A 13,979-nucleotide genomic window follows, 5' to 3' on the forward strand; every position below is an offset into this window, starting at 1 on the left:
TTTTGCAGCCACTTTACACAGTGCTGGGCTGCTGCATGTTAATTCATGTTGAAAAATGTGTACGATCATTGATTTGTATTATAAAAATCTTCAATTTTAACGTAAATTGTTATACCTGTCTAGCTAGGTCATGAATAAGCTTTTTCTCTCCTTGGATCTTCAAATCTAGCTAATTGATATGCATTGTGATATAGGGGTAACAATGTAAATCACACTGAGATTTCTAAAAATCTATTCCTGGTTTACTCTTTGATTGTCGAATATTGGCAAGCATTTCTTTTGTTTTGAGAAAATCTGAATTAGAGTTAACAGAATTGTAAATCTTTGCAAAACTCTTCCTTGACTCAAGCAACCAACATTAGCTAATAATGTGGTCATTAAATTCACTGTCTTCTATTTCTTTTAACAGTTCCATAAACTGGTGATGATTTAGAGCATTTGTGCATATGTACTGAACAATTTTTGGGTCTTTTTGAGACGTAGTCTAGCTCTTTTGCCAGGCTGGAGTGCACTGGAGTGCAGTGGCATGATCTCAGCTCACTGCAACCTCCGCCTCCTTGGTTCAAGCGATTCTCCTGCCTCAGCCTCCTGAGTAGCTGGAACTACAGGCGTGTGCCACCACGCCAAGCTAATTTTTGTATTTTTAGAAGAGAGAGGGTTTCACCATGTTGGCCAGAATGGTCTTGATCTCTTTACCTTGTGATCCACCCAGCTCGGCCTCCCAAAGTGCTGGGATTACAGGGATAAGCCACCATGCCCGGCCTGAACAATTTTAATAGCTGCTTCCATGATACAGTCTGCCTTAGGGCACAAATATTTGCATTGTGTTTCCCACAGCAGAAAAAATAAGAGAAATAAATCCAACAAATACTGATGTTGGAACACTGTCTTGCTGGAAACTGACTTTTTTATATCTAGCTGAGAGTTACAGATGTAGAGAATTCAAAAATATCTACAACATAAGATCAGTTTTTAAATTTAAGGCTGCAAATAGATGAAGACATTTCTCTGTAAATTTGAAGGTCATTTGAGACAAATATACCCATAGTATTAATTAGGCATTATCTCTTCTAAAATTCATCTAAAGCTAAAAATACTTGTAACTTTTCAAATGCTGACTTAATTGGTCTTTAATATTGTTAGAAGGGACTTTTATTCACTGACAGTTGCTTGGTGTCTCAAAGATTTTTCACTTTCCGTAAAATATCTTTTTAACTTTTTTCCTCATAATTTAAAAATATAATTTCCTTAACTGAAATAATTTAATTTTTCATCTCATCACCTTAAAATTGTTTTCTACATTGAACAAGAATCTGAACTAGTCAGGCGCGGTGGCTCACACCTGTAATCTCAGCACTTTGGGAGGCTGAGGTGGGAGGATCGCTTGAGGCCAGGAATTTGAGACCAGGCTGGGAAACAGAATACCCTGGCTGTATTTTTAAAAAATAAAGAAAAAAATAATCCAAGCTGTTTTATAGCTGGCCACTTACAAGCTCAAGTTCTGTAAAATCTTCAGGAATGTTTTTGTTTTACATTTAATTCTGATTTCACTGATTGTGACTAATTTTATCAATTATTTTTTGACTGAAGCCAGTTCATATTAAATTGAAATGCATTTGCTGAAAATGTCTCTTAACTGTTGTTTATTATCTTAAAACTCTTTTTTTACCCAGCAGCTTTTTAACTTTGCTCTGCTGCAGCAAATCGCAATTGCCATTCTTTGTGAAATTTGTGACATACCTTGTTGAGTCTTTTTTCTTTTCATTTGATTCTTTCTCAGCAGTATACCTGCATTTGAAAGTAAAAATTTTTCTATTTTTAATTTTTAAGCTAAAAAAATTTAATTATAAAATAATTAAAATAAGTATTTTAATTTAATTGCCAATTATGATTTACATAGGTCACCATAACTCATGGTATCTGCATAAAATGTTCAAATAAACAATTACAATGCTACATTGTTGCATAGAAAAATCATAGAAAAATCACTTGAACTGACTCATTCTGTTGATACAAACTAGATTGGTGATACGCTTTTGGGTAATGCTAGAAATGACATGTTTACCCAGCTGTGCACTCCCACATATCTTGCACAATTTAATAATAAAAGCAAAAGACAATCCTACCAAACTATAACATTGTGCTTAATGGTAAAAGATTTTACACTGCTTCAGTTATTAAGAATTTATATTAATTAAAAGTTTTAAAAATAAAAATTGTATTCCTCAGTTGCAGTAGCCACATTTGCACAGCTCTGGAGTCTAGATCAACTTACTTTGGTGATAAAAGGGTAGAGAGGCAAAGCTGCTGGACCCAACTGGCCTGGAAGAACAGAGCAAGTCCGTAAATGAGTCTGTACTTTAACAAACGTAATTTTATGACCAAGGCTGACTTCATGTTATACCAGAAAGGATTACCTTAATAAGAAATAAATCAGTTATTTAATTTACTTTGAAATAATTTATTTGTTTAAACAACCACTTATTTGTGGCAGTTAGAGGTTCAGTTTTCAATTAGATATTAATGGCATCGTGTAAATATAGAAAAAGTGATCTGAGTTTGCTCTTAAGACTTCACTTTCCAGATAAATGCTAGCATTTCGAGTTTTGGACACTGAGGATTGTTTTATTCAAACTACATGCATAAATTTATGCAAACATAAAATAAAAATGTAAGCAGAAATTCGAGTAGAGTAGCAATACAATTTCATTCTTCAGTGAATGCTTAAGGTTTATAGAGGTACCAAATGCCCTAAGCCCAAATTTACAGACAAAGTAGATCTTATCCTCTTAATATTTATGCCGAGAAGGAGCAAAAAATTAAAACTTTTCACTAATTTAATTTCTTTATGTAGTTGTTATAGGACCAATGAAGAATTTTTTCTCCTGCTGGTAGTACTTTGATAATAGAAAATGGTCCAGGATATAAAAGACTGCTTTTGCTCTTTGTGGAAATGTTGGGAATTGACTTTAGACGCTCGGAGAATATGTTAGAGAAATCTTGATTGACTGCCTGGGTGATCAGTTAATGAGAGTGTGTGTTAAATAATTACATATATAACATTGTAGTGACAGTTTTGAGAAGCATTCACTTAAAATTTTCATTTCTCTGAATAAAAGACACAAGCATGCTTTTTTGTGTAATCTTCTAAAATTACTTTTCCCCACCCCTTTCTCTCTCTTTCTTTCTCCCTCTTTTTAATAAAATGGTTTTCAGATATGTTTTTGGAATCTGCTAGAGATGACCTAATTTTTACTAACTGCTGTGCTTTCAAAGTTTTGTTTGCTCAGAATGGCAGTGTTATTTTTATTATTCTTTGATAGTAATAACAAATGGTTTCATGCAAAGCATATTCAAAATAATATCTTAGTGCCAGCTTGTAAATTGTTTTTGTTAAAATTGGCCTTATCCCAGGAAAAAATTAAATGCTAATGTGAACAAGTTAAAGTTTATATTATGTGTGATTTCTTACATTATTTGCTTTTTGACTTATAAAACACACAGAGTATCGGTTTTTAAATATAGCTTAAATATTTTTCTTCAAAGCACTTATCAGTTGCCTGAATGATATAGCCACTATTTTATACTTTTGTTTTGTAGTGCCTCAGAGTGAAAGAGCATTCTTCTCAGCTCATCTGAATTCAAGCTATTTTAATTAAATTATGTTTAAAATGTGCAGCTTTAACTTTAGTTTTTCTATTCAGATATCCCTACAGGTTAATTACCTCTTCCCTGCTTTTCACTTAAATCTCTCCTTCCCCCAATTCCCCATTAATTTGGGTTGGGAAGTGTCAACTTAAAGCTTTAGGCTTAATGCTACATGAAAAGACTCGGTGCTTTTTATTTCATTTTCCATGTATTAGGCACCACTAAAAAGAATGTAACACATGTAGCAGCTTATTTCATTTTCAAAGGAGGAATTGAAGAGCTTTTGAGTAAAAAACGTGAAAAGAAGCTCATGTTCATTGCCTACGTGGCTTTTAAAAAAGACTCTTGAAAAACATTCCATTGTGAATTCCAGGTCCTCTTTAAACTTACCACCAGCAGTAACTGCCTGCAGAGCCATGTGATCATCTTGGCAACAGCCAGACCTTTTAGTGATTTCATTACTGTGGTTTCCTCAAGCTCTTTACACACATTGATTAATATTTTCCTTGCAGTTATCGCTGTGATGATTTTGTGGTTAATGACACCAAGCTGGGACTGGTACAGAAAGTCAGAGAACACTTACAGAACTTGGAAAAGTAAGTAATAGGCCTTTGGAAAAAGAAGGGCCTAAGAATGGGGTTGAGGAGTCTTTTAGAATTTTTGAGTGGGGTTTTTGTTGATGAGTTTAATAACTTCATGTTTATAATATGATTGAAATGTTAATAAAATAAACCTTGGCTTTGGATAGCTAAAACTTGGCCCATAGTTAATGGTCATAGCTGTGCATTTATTTTATTTAATATTTGTCATAAACCATATCCAAGGTCCCAAGAGCCTCTTTAAAAAATATTACCCAACAATTTATAAGCTACTCAATTTATTTTGAGGGTACAAGAAAAGGGCAGAAAAAGGTGTGAAATCATCATAGAGTTACTTTTGATAATAGAAAACCCCTGTCAAATGTATTATGAGGTCTACTAGGAAGCACTATGATTTATGCATCATTTTTAAGGGAAATTAGGTTTAATGAACATATTGTCCACTTTGCATCTATACAGTGGCACAGGATCCTAGTTTCTTCCTTGCTTGTTAGGGGCAGTTAAATATCAGTTGACATTACAAGGAGCTATGAATACTTTGTCATCATAAAGAAATGAAACTATTTATATGTGAACAGACTTTTATTGGTATAGTCAAATAGTTAGATAAAACTCACTGGACCCGAAATTGAAGCAATAAACAGAAACCCAGCTAGCCATGCCTTTGAAGCTACAGTGGATAGAAGCATGGCTCTGGAATGACTGCTGACTCAAGTGAAATCTCTGTACATCACACCAAATCATTAAGCGCCATCTAATTTATTTTGGCAGTTGATGTGTAGAAGGTATTGTGAAAACATCCACAAAGCAGGAGTCCCTTAGCAAACTTAAGTGTAAAGCCCATAGAATGTTTGAAAATTGCATACTGAAAAGAAATAACCTAACTTCTTTGAGGGCAGTACTGTGTAGTGTTTGTTAAAACCACAGACATTATGTATGTCTCATTGACTAACTAGATGATAAAGCCAATACTGGAAGAATAATGATTTCTTTAAATCTAAACCAATTAAAGTACTTCAGGTTTAAGTACTTCTTGGTTTGTCATCTTTTGGCTCTTTTTCAGAGTACTTCTCTTCTAATTTGATGAGTCCTATCTAGGATTAGAGACAGATACACACAGATCCAAAATATTTAATTTTCTCTGAAACTGTTCACAATAAACATGAAGTCTGAGATTCCTGAAGGAATGTATGTAGTATCACTCTTTGGTGTGGTGATGTCCTTCACCCTCTCAGTCTGAAATAATCAGAACTAAGTCAAAGGGAAAAGAGGGCATTTGAGAACCTGCATGCATTTATACAGTTAAAAAATCTTTTCTTTCCATTGATCACTTCATCAGATGAAAGGTGTCACAGACCACCTGTCTACATGTCTGCTTGGCTCCATGAAAAATCTACCTTACAGCCCATTTCCTATGTTGAAAAACATTACCTAGATTCATTTTTGTGTTTTGCAAACATTGGTTTAATCTGTAGTGGAATTTAGAAACTACGATCATATTTGTGTTTTACTTAACTTTCGACTATTCCGCATGCCCCGTGGAGCAGCACTGTCCAGCAGAACTTTCTGCAGTGACAGAAATGTTCTCCATCCACTCTAATATGGTAACACTAGCCATACTTGAAAAGTGGCTAGTGCAACTGAGACACTGAATTTTAAACTTCAAGTTTAATTAATTTAAATAGCCACATGGAGTGAGTGGCTACTATATTAGATAGCATGGATCTAGAAGATTCTGCATTTTGAGAGTCACTGAGGATAAAATTTAGTAACTTACATTTTTAAAAGGTGAAATGCCTTATTTATATAGGTTACAACTGAAAATGAACTCTTAGGCATTGTCATAAAGAGCATATATACTATGCTTGTGGTTTACCTTCCCCACTTCACAGAATTTGTGAAGGAATAGTTGAACACTATAGAGTATGGAATTGGTCTCTTCATCTTGTGGCTACCAGTACTGTAAGAGAGAGACACACAGTTCTGAAGAACATTTTGAGGTTTGAAGCAACTGTCACTAGTTCTGATGTTTCAAAGACATAATTCATGTGGAAATTCTGTAAGAAAAAAATAATTATTTACTTTGGATGAACTGGGTACTTTTAGAAGGTGGGAGAGAATTGGCGGCCTTAAAAGTCTGTGTTGTTTAACCATAATTTTTACTTCCTTTAGATTAATTTGCCTGAGACATAAAATTTTAAAGTGACCTTTTGAAAATAGAAATAACTTTCTGATAAATTTTAAGCAAAATATTTCTTACATCAAGAAAAATTTTGAGTGATTTTAATTCAGAATTTCCTCACTAATAAGGATGTGTTTTAGAATGTCCTTTGGAGCGTAGCTGCATCTAATGAATGTACATGTGCCTGTATTCCTGTAACTTATTTATCATTCCTCAAACTCAGATCATATCATCATCTATTAAGACAAATGAGCAAAACATGGCATCTTTATTGAAATTAAGAAAGAAATAGCATATGGAGACTTACTGTTAAATTTCAGAACAGTAGTATCAGACCAGGGTTTTCCTTTTCTTGTGAGGAATGAACCTTCTGGTCTGTGAAGCTTCGCAGTCAGTCAGACTGTGAGAGTGGTGGTGGGGAGTGTCCCACGGGCTGCATCTTCCCGGCCAGCTTTGCCAGGAGCAGTGTCCAGCCCACCTCTGCTGGAGGAGCAATGGGGATTTCCAAGGAAGTAGAGCTCCTCGGTTAACTTCAAATACGTGTGGGCCCCAGTAGGCCTGACGAAGCAGTCAGGGAGGTCTCCATGCCCTAGGTGTTGAGGGCAGCTGGAGTTTATTCTTTCACCTGTGGTGTAGCATGCATATATTAATAACTTTTTCACTATCTGTTTGTGTTTTAATAGCTCAGCTTTCACAGCTGACAGGCATAAGAAAAGAAAACTTTTGGAAAACTCAACACTAAACAGCAAGTTATTAAAAGTAAATGTAAGTAATTAAAATTTATTCAAATATAAGAGTTAGTTGAGATTTAATCACTGTTTTGTTACAACTCTAACATGTAATGTTACCTGTTACAGACTTTTATAAATGTGTGTCTTGGATTTGGAGTATTTTACACAATGTTTGCCACCTGTACTGTCGATTGTTGCCGTGACCCCAGTGAGTCCATCTGTCAGCACCTTCTTCCCATCAGCGTTACTGCTGTGCTCCTCTTCCCTAGAAAACAGTTCACTCTTAATACTTGCTCACACTCCTTCGTCATCAGAAAACCCAGCCTTTGTTTTTAAGACTAAGTCTTTAGCTTCAGGCGGCTTTTCCTTTTTTTGAGATGGAGTCCCACTCCGTAGCCCAGGCTGGAGTACAGTGGCGCAGTCTCGGCTCACTGGAACCTCTGCCTCCCAGGCTGAAGTGATTCTCCTGCCACAGCCTCCCAAGGGGGTGGGACAACAGGTGTACACCACCACGCCTGGCTAATTTTTGTACTTTTATTTTGTTTTTGTTTTTGTTTTTTTTTTTTGAGATGGAGTCTCACTCTGTCACCCAGGCTGGAGTGCAGTGGCACAATCTTGGCCCATTGCAACCTCAGCCTCCTGGGTTCAAGCAATTCTCCTGCCTCAACCTCCCAAGTAGCTGGGATTACAGGCACACGCCACCACGCCCGGCTAACTTTTTCTGTTTTAGTAGAGACGGAGTTTCACCGTGTTGCTCAGGCTGGTCTCGAACTCCTGAGCTCAGGCAATCCACCCACCTCAGCTTCCCAAAGTGCTAGGAGTACAGGCATGAGCCACCACACCCAGCCTTTTTGTATTTTTAGTAGAGACGGAGTTTCGCCATGTTGGCGGCCTGTCTTGAGGCGCCTGGCCTCAGGCAGCTTTTCAAGATTCATATCCCATTGTTAGGAAAACGTGTATTGGTCGTTTATGTATGGCTTAGAGTTAAAAGTTTGGGGACAAAAATACTTGGGGTGTATATATTTATATTTTTTCCATTTCTCTTAGTTTTTATAGAATCTTAAAAAGGCATTAAGTCTTAAATGTTATTTTAAGGATTTCCTGTTTTTTGCATTGTGTACTCCATGGTACTCATTAATGGTGATTTCCTCATAAGCTTTCAATAAGATACTTCTATTTAGAACAATCCCAGGATCAGAAACAGCCTTCTAAAAATATCCAGACATTTATACAGAGACTAGAGAGTTTGTTTGAAATATTCATTGGACAGAAAAGGACCAATTCCAAATTGGCTTGGTGCTAGATTTCAGAGGCCTTTCCTTAGCTTTGATGTTTGAAACAGTTGGCCTTCCCTTGGCATTACTGATGGCCTCTTCTTGCACCACTTACAGGGAAGCACCACTGCCATTTGTGCCACAGGCCTTCGGAATTTGGGGAACACATGTTTCATGAATGCCATCCTTCAGTCACTCAGGTAACGCTACAGTCAGAGCTTAAGTGTCTGACATTAAAGGTTAAGAGCACGGGCTCTGGCTCCCTATCTCGTCTGCCACTAACTCTAGTCATATGGTTTGGAGCAAGATACCTTAATTTCCTGTGCTTTTGTTTCCTCATCAGTAAAATTGGGGACAGTAGTTCCTACCTCATGGGGTAGTTGGGAAGATTGAATAATGTAATTTGTCTAAAGTACTTAGAGCAGTGTCCTGCAGTGAATAGTTGTTTGCGGTTATTTCCGGTTGCTTTTTGAATAGGCTAGAACTGAGGTCAGCAAACTTTTTCTGTGAAAGGCCTGATAGTAAACATTTTAGTATTTCAGGCTACAGTCTCTCTCAGATATCCCCCACCCCCCCGCTCTTTATTAAAACAACACTTTAGGGCCAGGTGCAGTGGCTCAGGCCTGTAATCCCACCAGCACTTTGGGAGGCTGAGGCGGGCAGATCACCTAAAGTCAGGAGTTTGAGACCAGCCTGGCCAACATAGTGAAACCCCATCTCTACTAAAAATACAAAAATTAGCTGGGCGTGGTGGCATGCGCCTCTAGTCCCAGCTGCTTGGGAGGCTGAGGCAGGAGAATCGCTTGAACCCAGGAGGTGGAAGTTGCAGTGAGCCAAGATGGCGCCACTACACTCCAGCCTGGGTGACAAAGCGAGACCCTGTCTCAAAAATAAATAAATTAATTAATTAATTAAATAAAACAACACTTTAAAAATTTAAAACTCGCTTTAAGAGCTGCCTGGTGGAGGGCTAGATTTGGCCTGTGGGCTACAGTTTGCAGACCCCTGGGTTACAGAGAGCCTTGTTCAGAGAGCTTATTTCAGTCATTAGTTAAGTTTTAACCCATTTATGTCAGAGGTTGCAATTTTTCTGTATGAAAAATCAGACGTTGGTGATGACCTCGATCAGTAAGATATAAATAACTCCCAGAAGCTTAGCGTTCCAATAATGGAACACTAGGCATAAATGGGTTAATCAAGGTCATAAGATGAGATGTCTTCAAAATATGAGACAAGTAGTAAAAATAAAATAGTCAACAAGGCTGACTTAAGTTTTGTAGAATAAATTATTTTGAAAGTTGCATACTTTTAGATTTTAATGAGACATCAAAGGCCAGAATAAATGATCTTCCCAAGGTTACATTGCTGATAAGAAGCAGAAGGCATATTTGATCTCTCCTGGAAGGCACTGCCTCTTAGCTTATCTCTTCTTGCTCAAAGAGGAAATTATAATTACTACTGAATTCTCCTTAGGATTCTGTATAGTGTATCAAAATAATATGGTCGGTTTCATGGTTTGTTTTTATTTGAGGAAATTATTGAATAACTGGAAACAAGCAACCGAAAAGAAAGAAATGGTGACTACCTATAGCTGGAGGGAGAATTGGGGATTTTTTTGAAAAGAGATTTTGTTTTCAGCTCTTTGTTTTTTGTTTTTGTTTTTTTACAAAGTCATCTGTCTATACTGTTTTCTTAGAGAGAAGGAAAAATCATAATGAAGAATCTGAATGCAAGAGATTGCACTGAGTACAGTTTAAATGAGACAATTGAAAAATGGCAGTTTCAAAATGTATATGTAGGCTTCATCAACTTTCTTTACAGTCCTATTCTTTTCTTTTTAAAATATTTTTCCCTTCCTTTTAAAATAGTAACATTGAGCAGTTTTGCTGTTATTTCAAAGAACTGCCCGCCGTGGAGTTAAGGAATGGGAAAACAGCAGGAAGGCGGACATACCACACCAGGAGCCAAGGGGATAACAATGTGTGAGTTATAAGAGTATGTCCTTTCTGGCTTTGAGTTACAAAACAAATTACTTTCACTGGTGGTTTCCATTGTACTAAGTGAGCTAACAGGCACATGCCTTAAAAAAAATCTTCTAAAAATTGTGTTTAAATATCTAGTTAGCAATCTTAATAATTGTTGGAATTCCGGCCGGGTGTGGTGGCTCACGCCTGTTATCCCAGCACTTTGGGATGCTGAGGCGGGTGGATCACCTGAGGTCAGTCAAGACCAGCCTGGTCAACATGGTGAAACCCCATCTCTACTAAATATACAAAAATTAGCCGGGCATGGTGGCGGGTACCTGTAATCCCAGCTACTCGGGAGGCTGAGGCAGGAGAATCGCTTGAACCCAAGAGGCAGAGGTTGCGGTGAGCCGAGATCGCGCCACTGCCCTCCAGCCTAGGTGACAGGGCGAGACTCCATCTCAAAAAAAAAAAAAAAAATTGTTGGGATTCCTTTATTTACCGTAACAGGAGGGATAAATTTAGCATTCTACTTATTGACTCTGCAGATTTGGGCATTCTAGAATTGGCATCTAGATATGAAGTGCAGTTCTAGGTGTAGATGACTATGAATCTCATTAGTCCATGTGAGTTGATTTGTCCGACAGTGTTAGGTAAACCTGTCTTGGATACTGAAATTAATTTGTAGTCAACAGATTAGTTGTGGGGGAATAAAGTCAATTTTTGGTTGATACGGAGAGGGGGGGAAGAAAACGGACAAGTGCTCATTAAGAACCAATCCTGTATCCTCATTTGGTGTAGACCTCCCTTATTTGTGGTTCAGAAGATCTTTCATTATGACAATTGTAGTGAGCACATTTTTCATAACTTTACAGCTCTTTTTCAGAAGGACTGTGACTCGTACTCCTTATATATTTAATGTTTTCTCTGTCTGCCTCCTCCACTTCCACACACTCCCATTCTCACTCATTCTGAAGGGGTGATCAGACACTTTCCTGCCTTGGTGGCTGAGGGAGAGTAGGACTGAACATGTCAGAATAATGGGCAGTAGGGCGAGAGTCACAGTGCAGGGAAACTGGAAAGCCAGGCGTGGAGCAGGGCTGGAATGACGTCACTACAAGTGGTGTTTGAAGGGAGTTTCCCTCACAGCAGCATCTAGGATGAGTTGAGCAGCATCTAGGATGAGTTGAAAGTGCCTGCATTCAAGGAGGCTTTGCACTCTACAGTAATCAGGTCAGAGGGGACAGCAGTGAAACAGTAGAAAAAATACATGTGTATGAGTTAAGAGAAGAGTTAGTAGTACTTGATGCATTCATGTCATGCAGGGTTGAGTTGCAGGCTGTAGAAATTGCCTTTGGCTGATTTAGGCAGCAAAGGAATTTACTGCAGGGCTATTGGTGAGCTAATCATACTGGGTGAGTGAAAAATCAGGTCTGGAGTCCGAGGCAGCAGCACCGCAGTCACAGTCACCCCACAGAACTGTCCTGTAAGGCCACCACTGCCTCTGGTGCCCAGCGCAGCAGCAGAGTTCCTGTTGCCAGCACTGCTGGAGATGGGTGCTGGCGGACACAGCCATGCTGCTGCCCTGCACTCCGGATGGTGCTCTTTGCCCCCCCTGCTACCAGAGAGGATTTGGTGCCATCCCTTCTTCTTTGTGTCACTAACTCCTGCTTCGGATGGGCAAAGCCCAGGCTGTGTACCTGTGCTCTGACTGCAAGGGAGCCTGAGAAGGCGAGTGTCTGGCTGTTTAGCTTCGGAAGTGGGAGGCAAACTCTTAAAAGTAGGGATTCTCCAACATAGGAAGAGGGTTCAAGTACTAGGAAGTCAAAAATATGATTTGTATTCCAGGGACCTATGTGATTGTGAGGGTTGAGAAAGAAGATATTGAGATTCTCTGAGATACCAATCAAGTATCCGAAAATATGGTGCTTATGTTGACAGCTATGGAAGTTGAAGTTGAGTTGGATCAGTTTAGCCACAGGTGTAGAAAACCAAAATTAAGTGACTTAAACATCCATGGTTTGTTTCCTCACATAAAAGTCAGAGGCTGTCTGTCTAGGGTGGTTTGACAAAGCCATCGGGCTCCTCCTGGCTTTCTTTTCCACCAACCTCCAGAGGCCCTATCCATCCACATAGTCCCCCATGGTGCTGGGGCTCCCCAACTCCGTCCTCATTCCTAGCAGGAAGAAGGAAAGGATTATTATAGGACTACTCTTTCTTTTTAAGACATTTCCCAGAATTTGGACACACTCAGTTTTTTATTGGGAGAGTTTATATGCCCAGGAAAAAAATGAGCGTTCTATTCATATGCGAGAAGAGTGTGGATATTGGGTGATAGGAGAGGTGTACAGAGAGCAGTAGATGCTGGAGCCGGTCAGTGCACATAGAGGTGAAAGTGACAAGAGGACCTCCCGCAGAAAATTCCTGCTGGAAACTGGAGAAGTTTAAATAAAAATAGTCATGAGAAAATCTGACTTTTGGAGTTGAGAGTCACTGGTGGAGAGCTGAGTGGTGAAGGTTAGTGACACAGGCTGGAGTCTGGGGGTGCTAGTGAGTGGCAAGAAGGACAAGGCAGGAGGGGGAGAAAGAAAGCCGAATGCTTGTTTTGCATTTTGAAAATGTACATTCTTAAGTCATTTGGCCTATAACTCACCCAGTGCTGTATGGTTTGCTTGCGTGTTTTAACTCAAAGTGTACAAACATGGCGGTGCATGGGCACACTCAGAGTTAACCATATGGTTACAAATTAGCTTTGTCAGAATTACTGCTACTTTTATGGGTTTTTGAGATGCTCTTATGTATCTTTCAGACTTTCTTCAGAAAAGACCAAATCCTTTTTAAGTGTTCATTTCCTATATATTAGGCATTTTAGATGGGTGGACGCTGTGTTGAAATTGTAGCCTCTCACTAATCTGAGGGCACTGTCCTTTCCTCTTTTGCAGGTCTTTGGTAGAAGAGTTTAGAAAGACACTCTGTGCTTTATGGCAAGGCAGCCAGACTGCATTTAGCCCAGAGTCCTTATTTTATGTTGTTTGGAAGATTATGCCAAACTTTAGGTAAGTATTATATGAAGATATTTTTAAACATTAATATTAGTGTTTATACTGTTCCTGAAATAATTCCTAATGAAGTGGTTGTATTCTAAATATTCTAAATACTTAAGACTGGTTTGGTGTTTTTTTCTTTTTAAGAAGAAGAGCTGAAATTGAATACATCTGACTAAACACATGTGTTTATTTAAATAATAGACTATAGAAATGTCTTTAACAAGAGGTGGGGTATTTTGTTGCTATAAACATAAAGCCCTTATAAATAACTTATGCGCACTAGGAAAACATACTGGACAAAATTTCCTTAATTCTTTCACAATGTAGAATAATTACCATCACACACTGTCTTGTTATTCCAGCTAAAAAAATTAATAAGATCAGTAGAAGTGCATGGTATTATATGAACTGTTCGGAGCTGAGTTCGGCAGCTCTGGGAAGGCTGTGGTCAAGCGCCTGGGATGCACTCTCCAGAAGGCAGCTGTGCCACATCCCGGTGTGGCCAGAGAGCTGCTGTGGTGCCCATGCTTTCTG

General features: G+C 38.5%; 1 protein-coding gene across 10 annotated transcripts in view, besides 1 other annotated feature; it reads left to right on the forward strand.

The window, feature by feature from the left end:
- The window catches only part of USP3 (ubiquitin specific peptidase 3), a 90,041-nt gene that overhangs the window by 44,962 nt on the left and 31,100 nt on the right, over positions 1-13,979 (forward strand). For all 10 annotated transcript variants that reach the window (NR_046341.2, NR_046342.2, NM_006537.4 and 7 more), the window contains 5 exons: positions 4,161-4,244; positions 7,113-7,194; positions 8,552-8,634; positions 10,303-10,416; positions 13,341-13,454. Coding sequence is in view for 8 of the 10 variants with exons in the window: in NM_006537.4 (NP_006528.2) it covers positions 4,161-4,244; positions 7,113-7,194; positions 8,552-8,634; positions 10,303-10,416; positions 13,341-13,454 (477 nt within the window). In the remaining 2 variants the exon portion in view is untranslated. The remainder of the gene's footprint in view (positions 1-4,160; positions 4,245-7,112; positions 7,195-8,551; positions 8,635-10,302; positions 10,417-13,340; positions 13,455-13,979) is intronic.
- Positions 10,131-10,684: an enhancer, noted in NCBI's record as "OCT4-NANOG hESC enhancer chr15:63851884-63852437 (GRCh37/hg19 assembly coordinates)". NCBI's record gives its function as "activates a minimal SCP1, AML or CMV promoter by ChIP-STARR-seq in primed H9 embryonic stem cells {active_cell/tissue: H9 hESC(primed)}" and the evidence as "EXISTENCE:reporter gene assay evidence [ECO:0000049][PMID:30033119]".

Source organism: Homo sapiens, chromosome 15, assembly GCF_000001405.40.
Source record: "Homo sapiens chromosome 15, GRCh38.p14 Primary Assembly".
In the NCBI taxonomy this organism is placed as follows: Eukaryota; Metazoa; Chordata; class Mammalia; order Primates; family Hominidae; genus Homo; species Homo sapiens.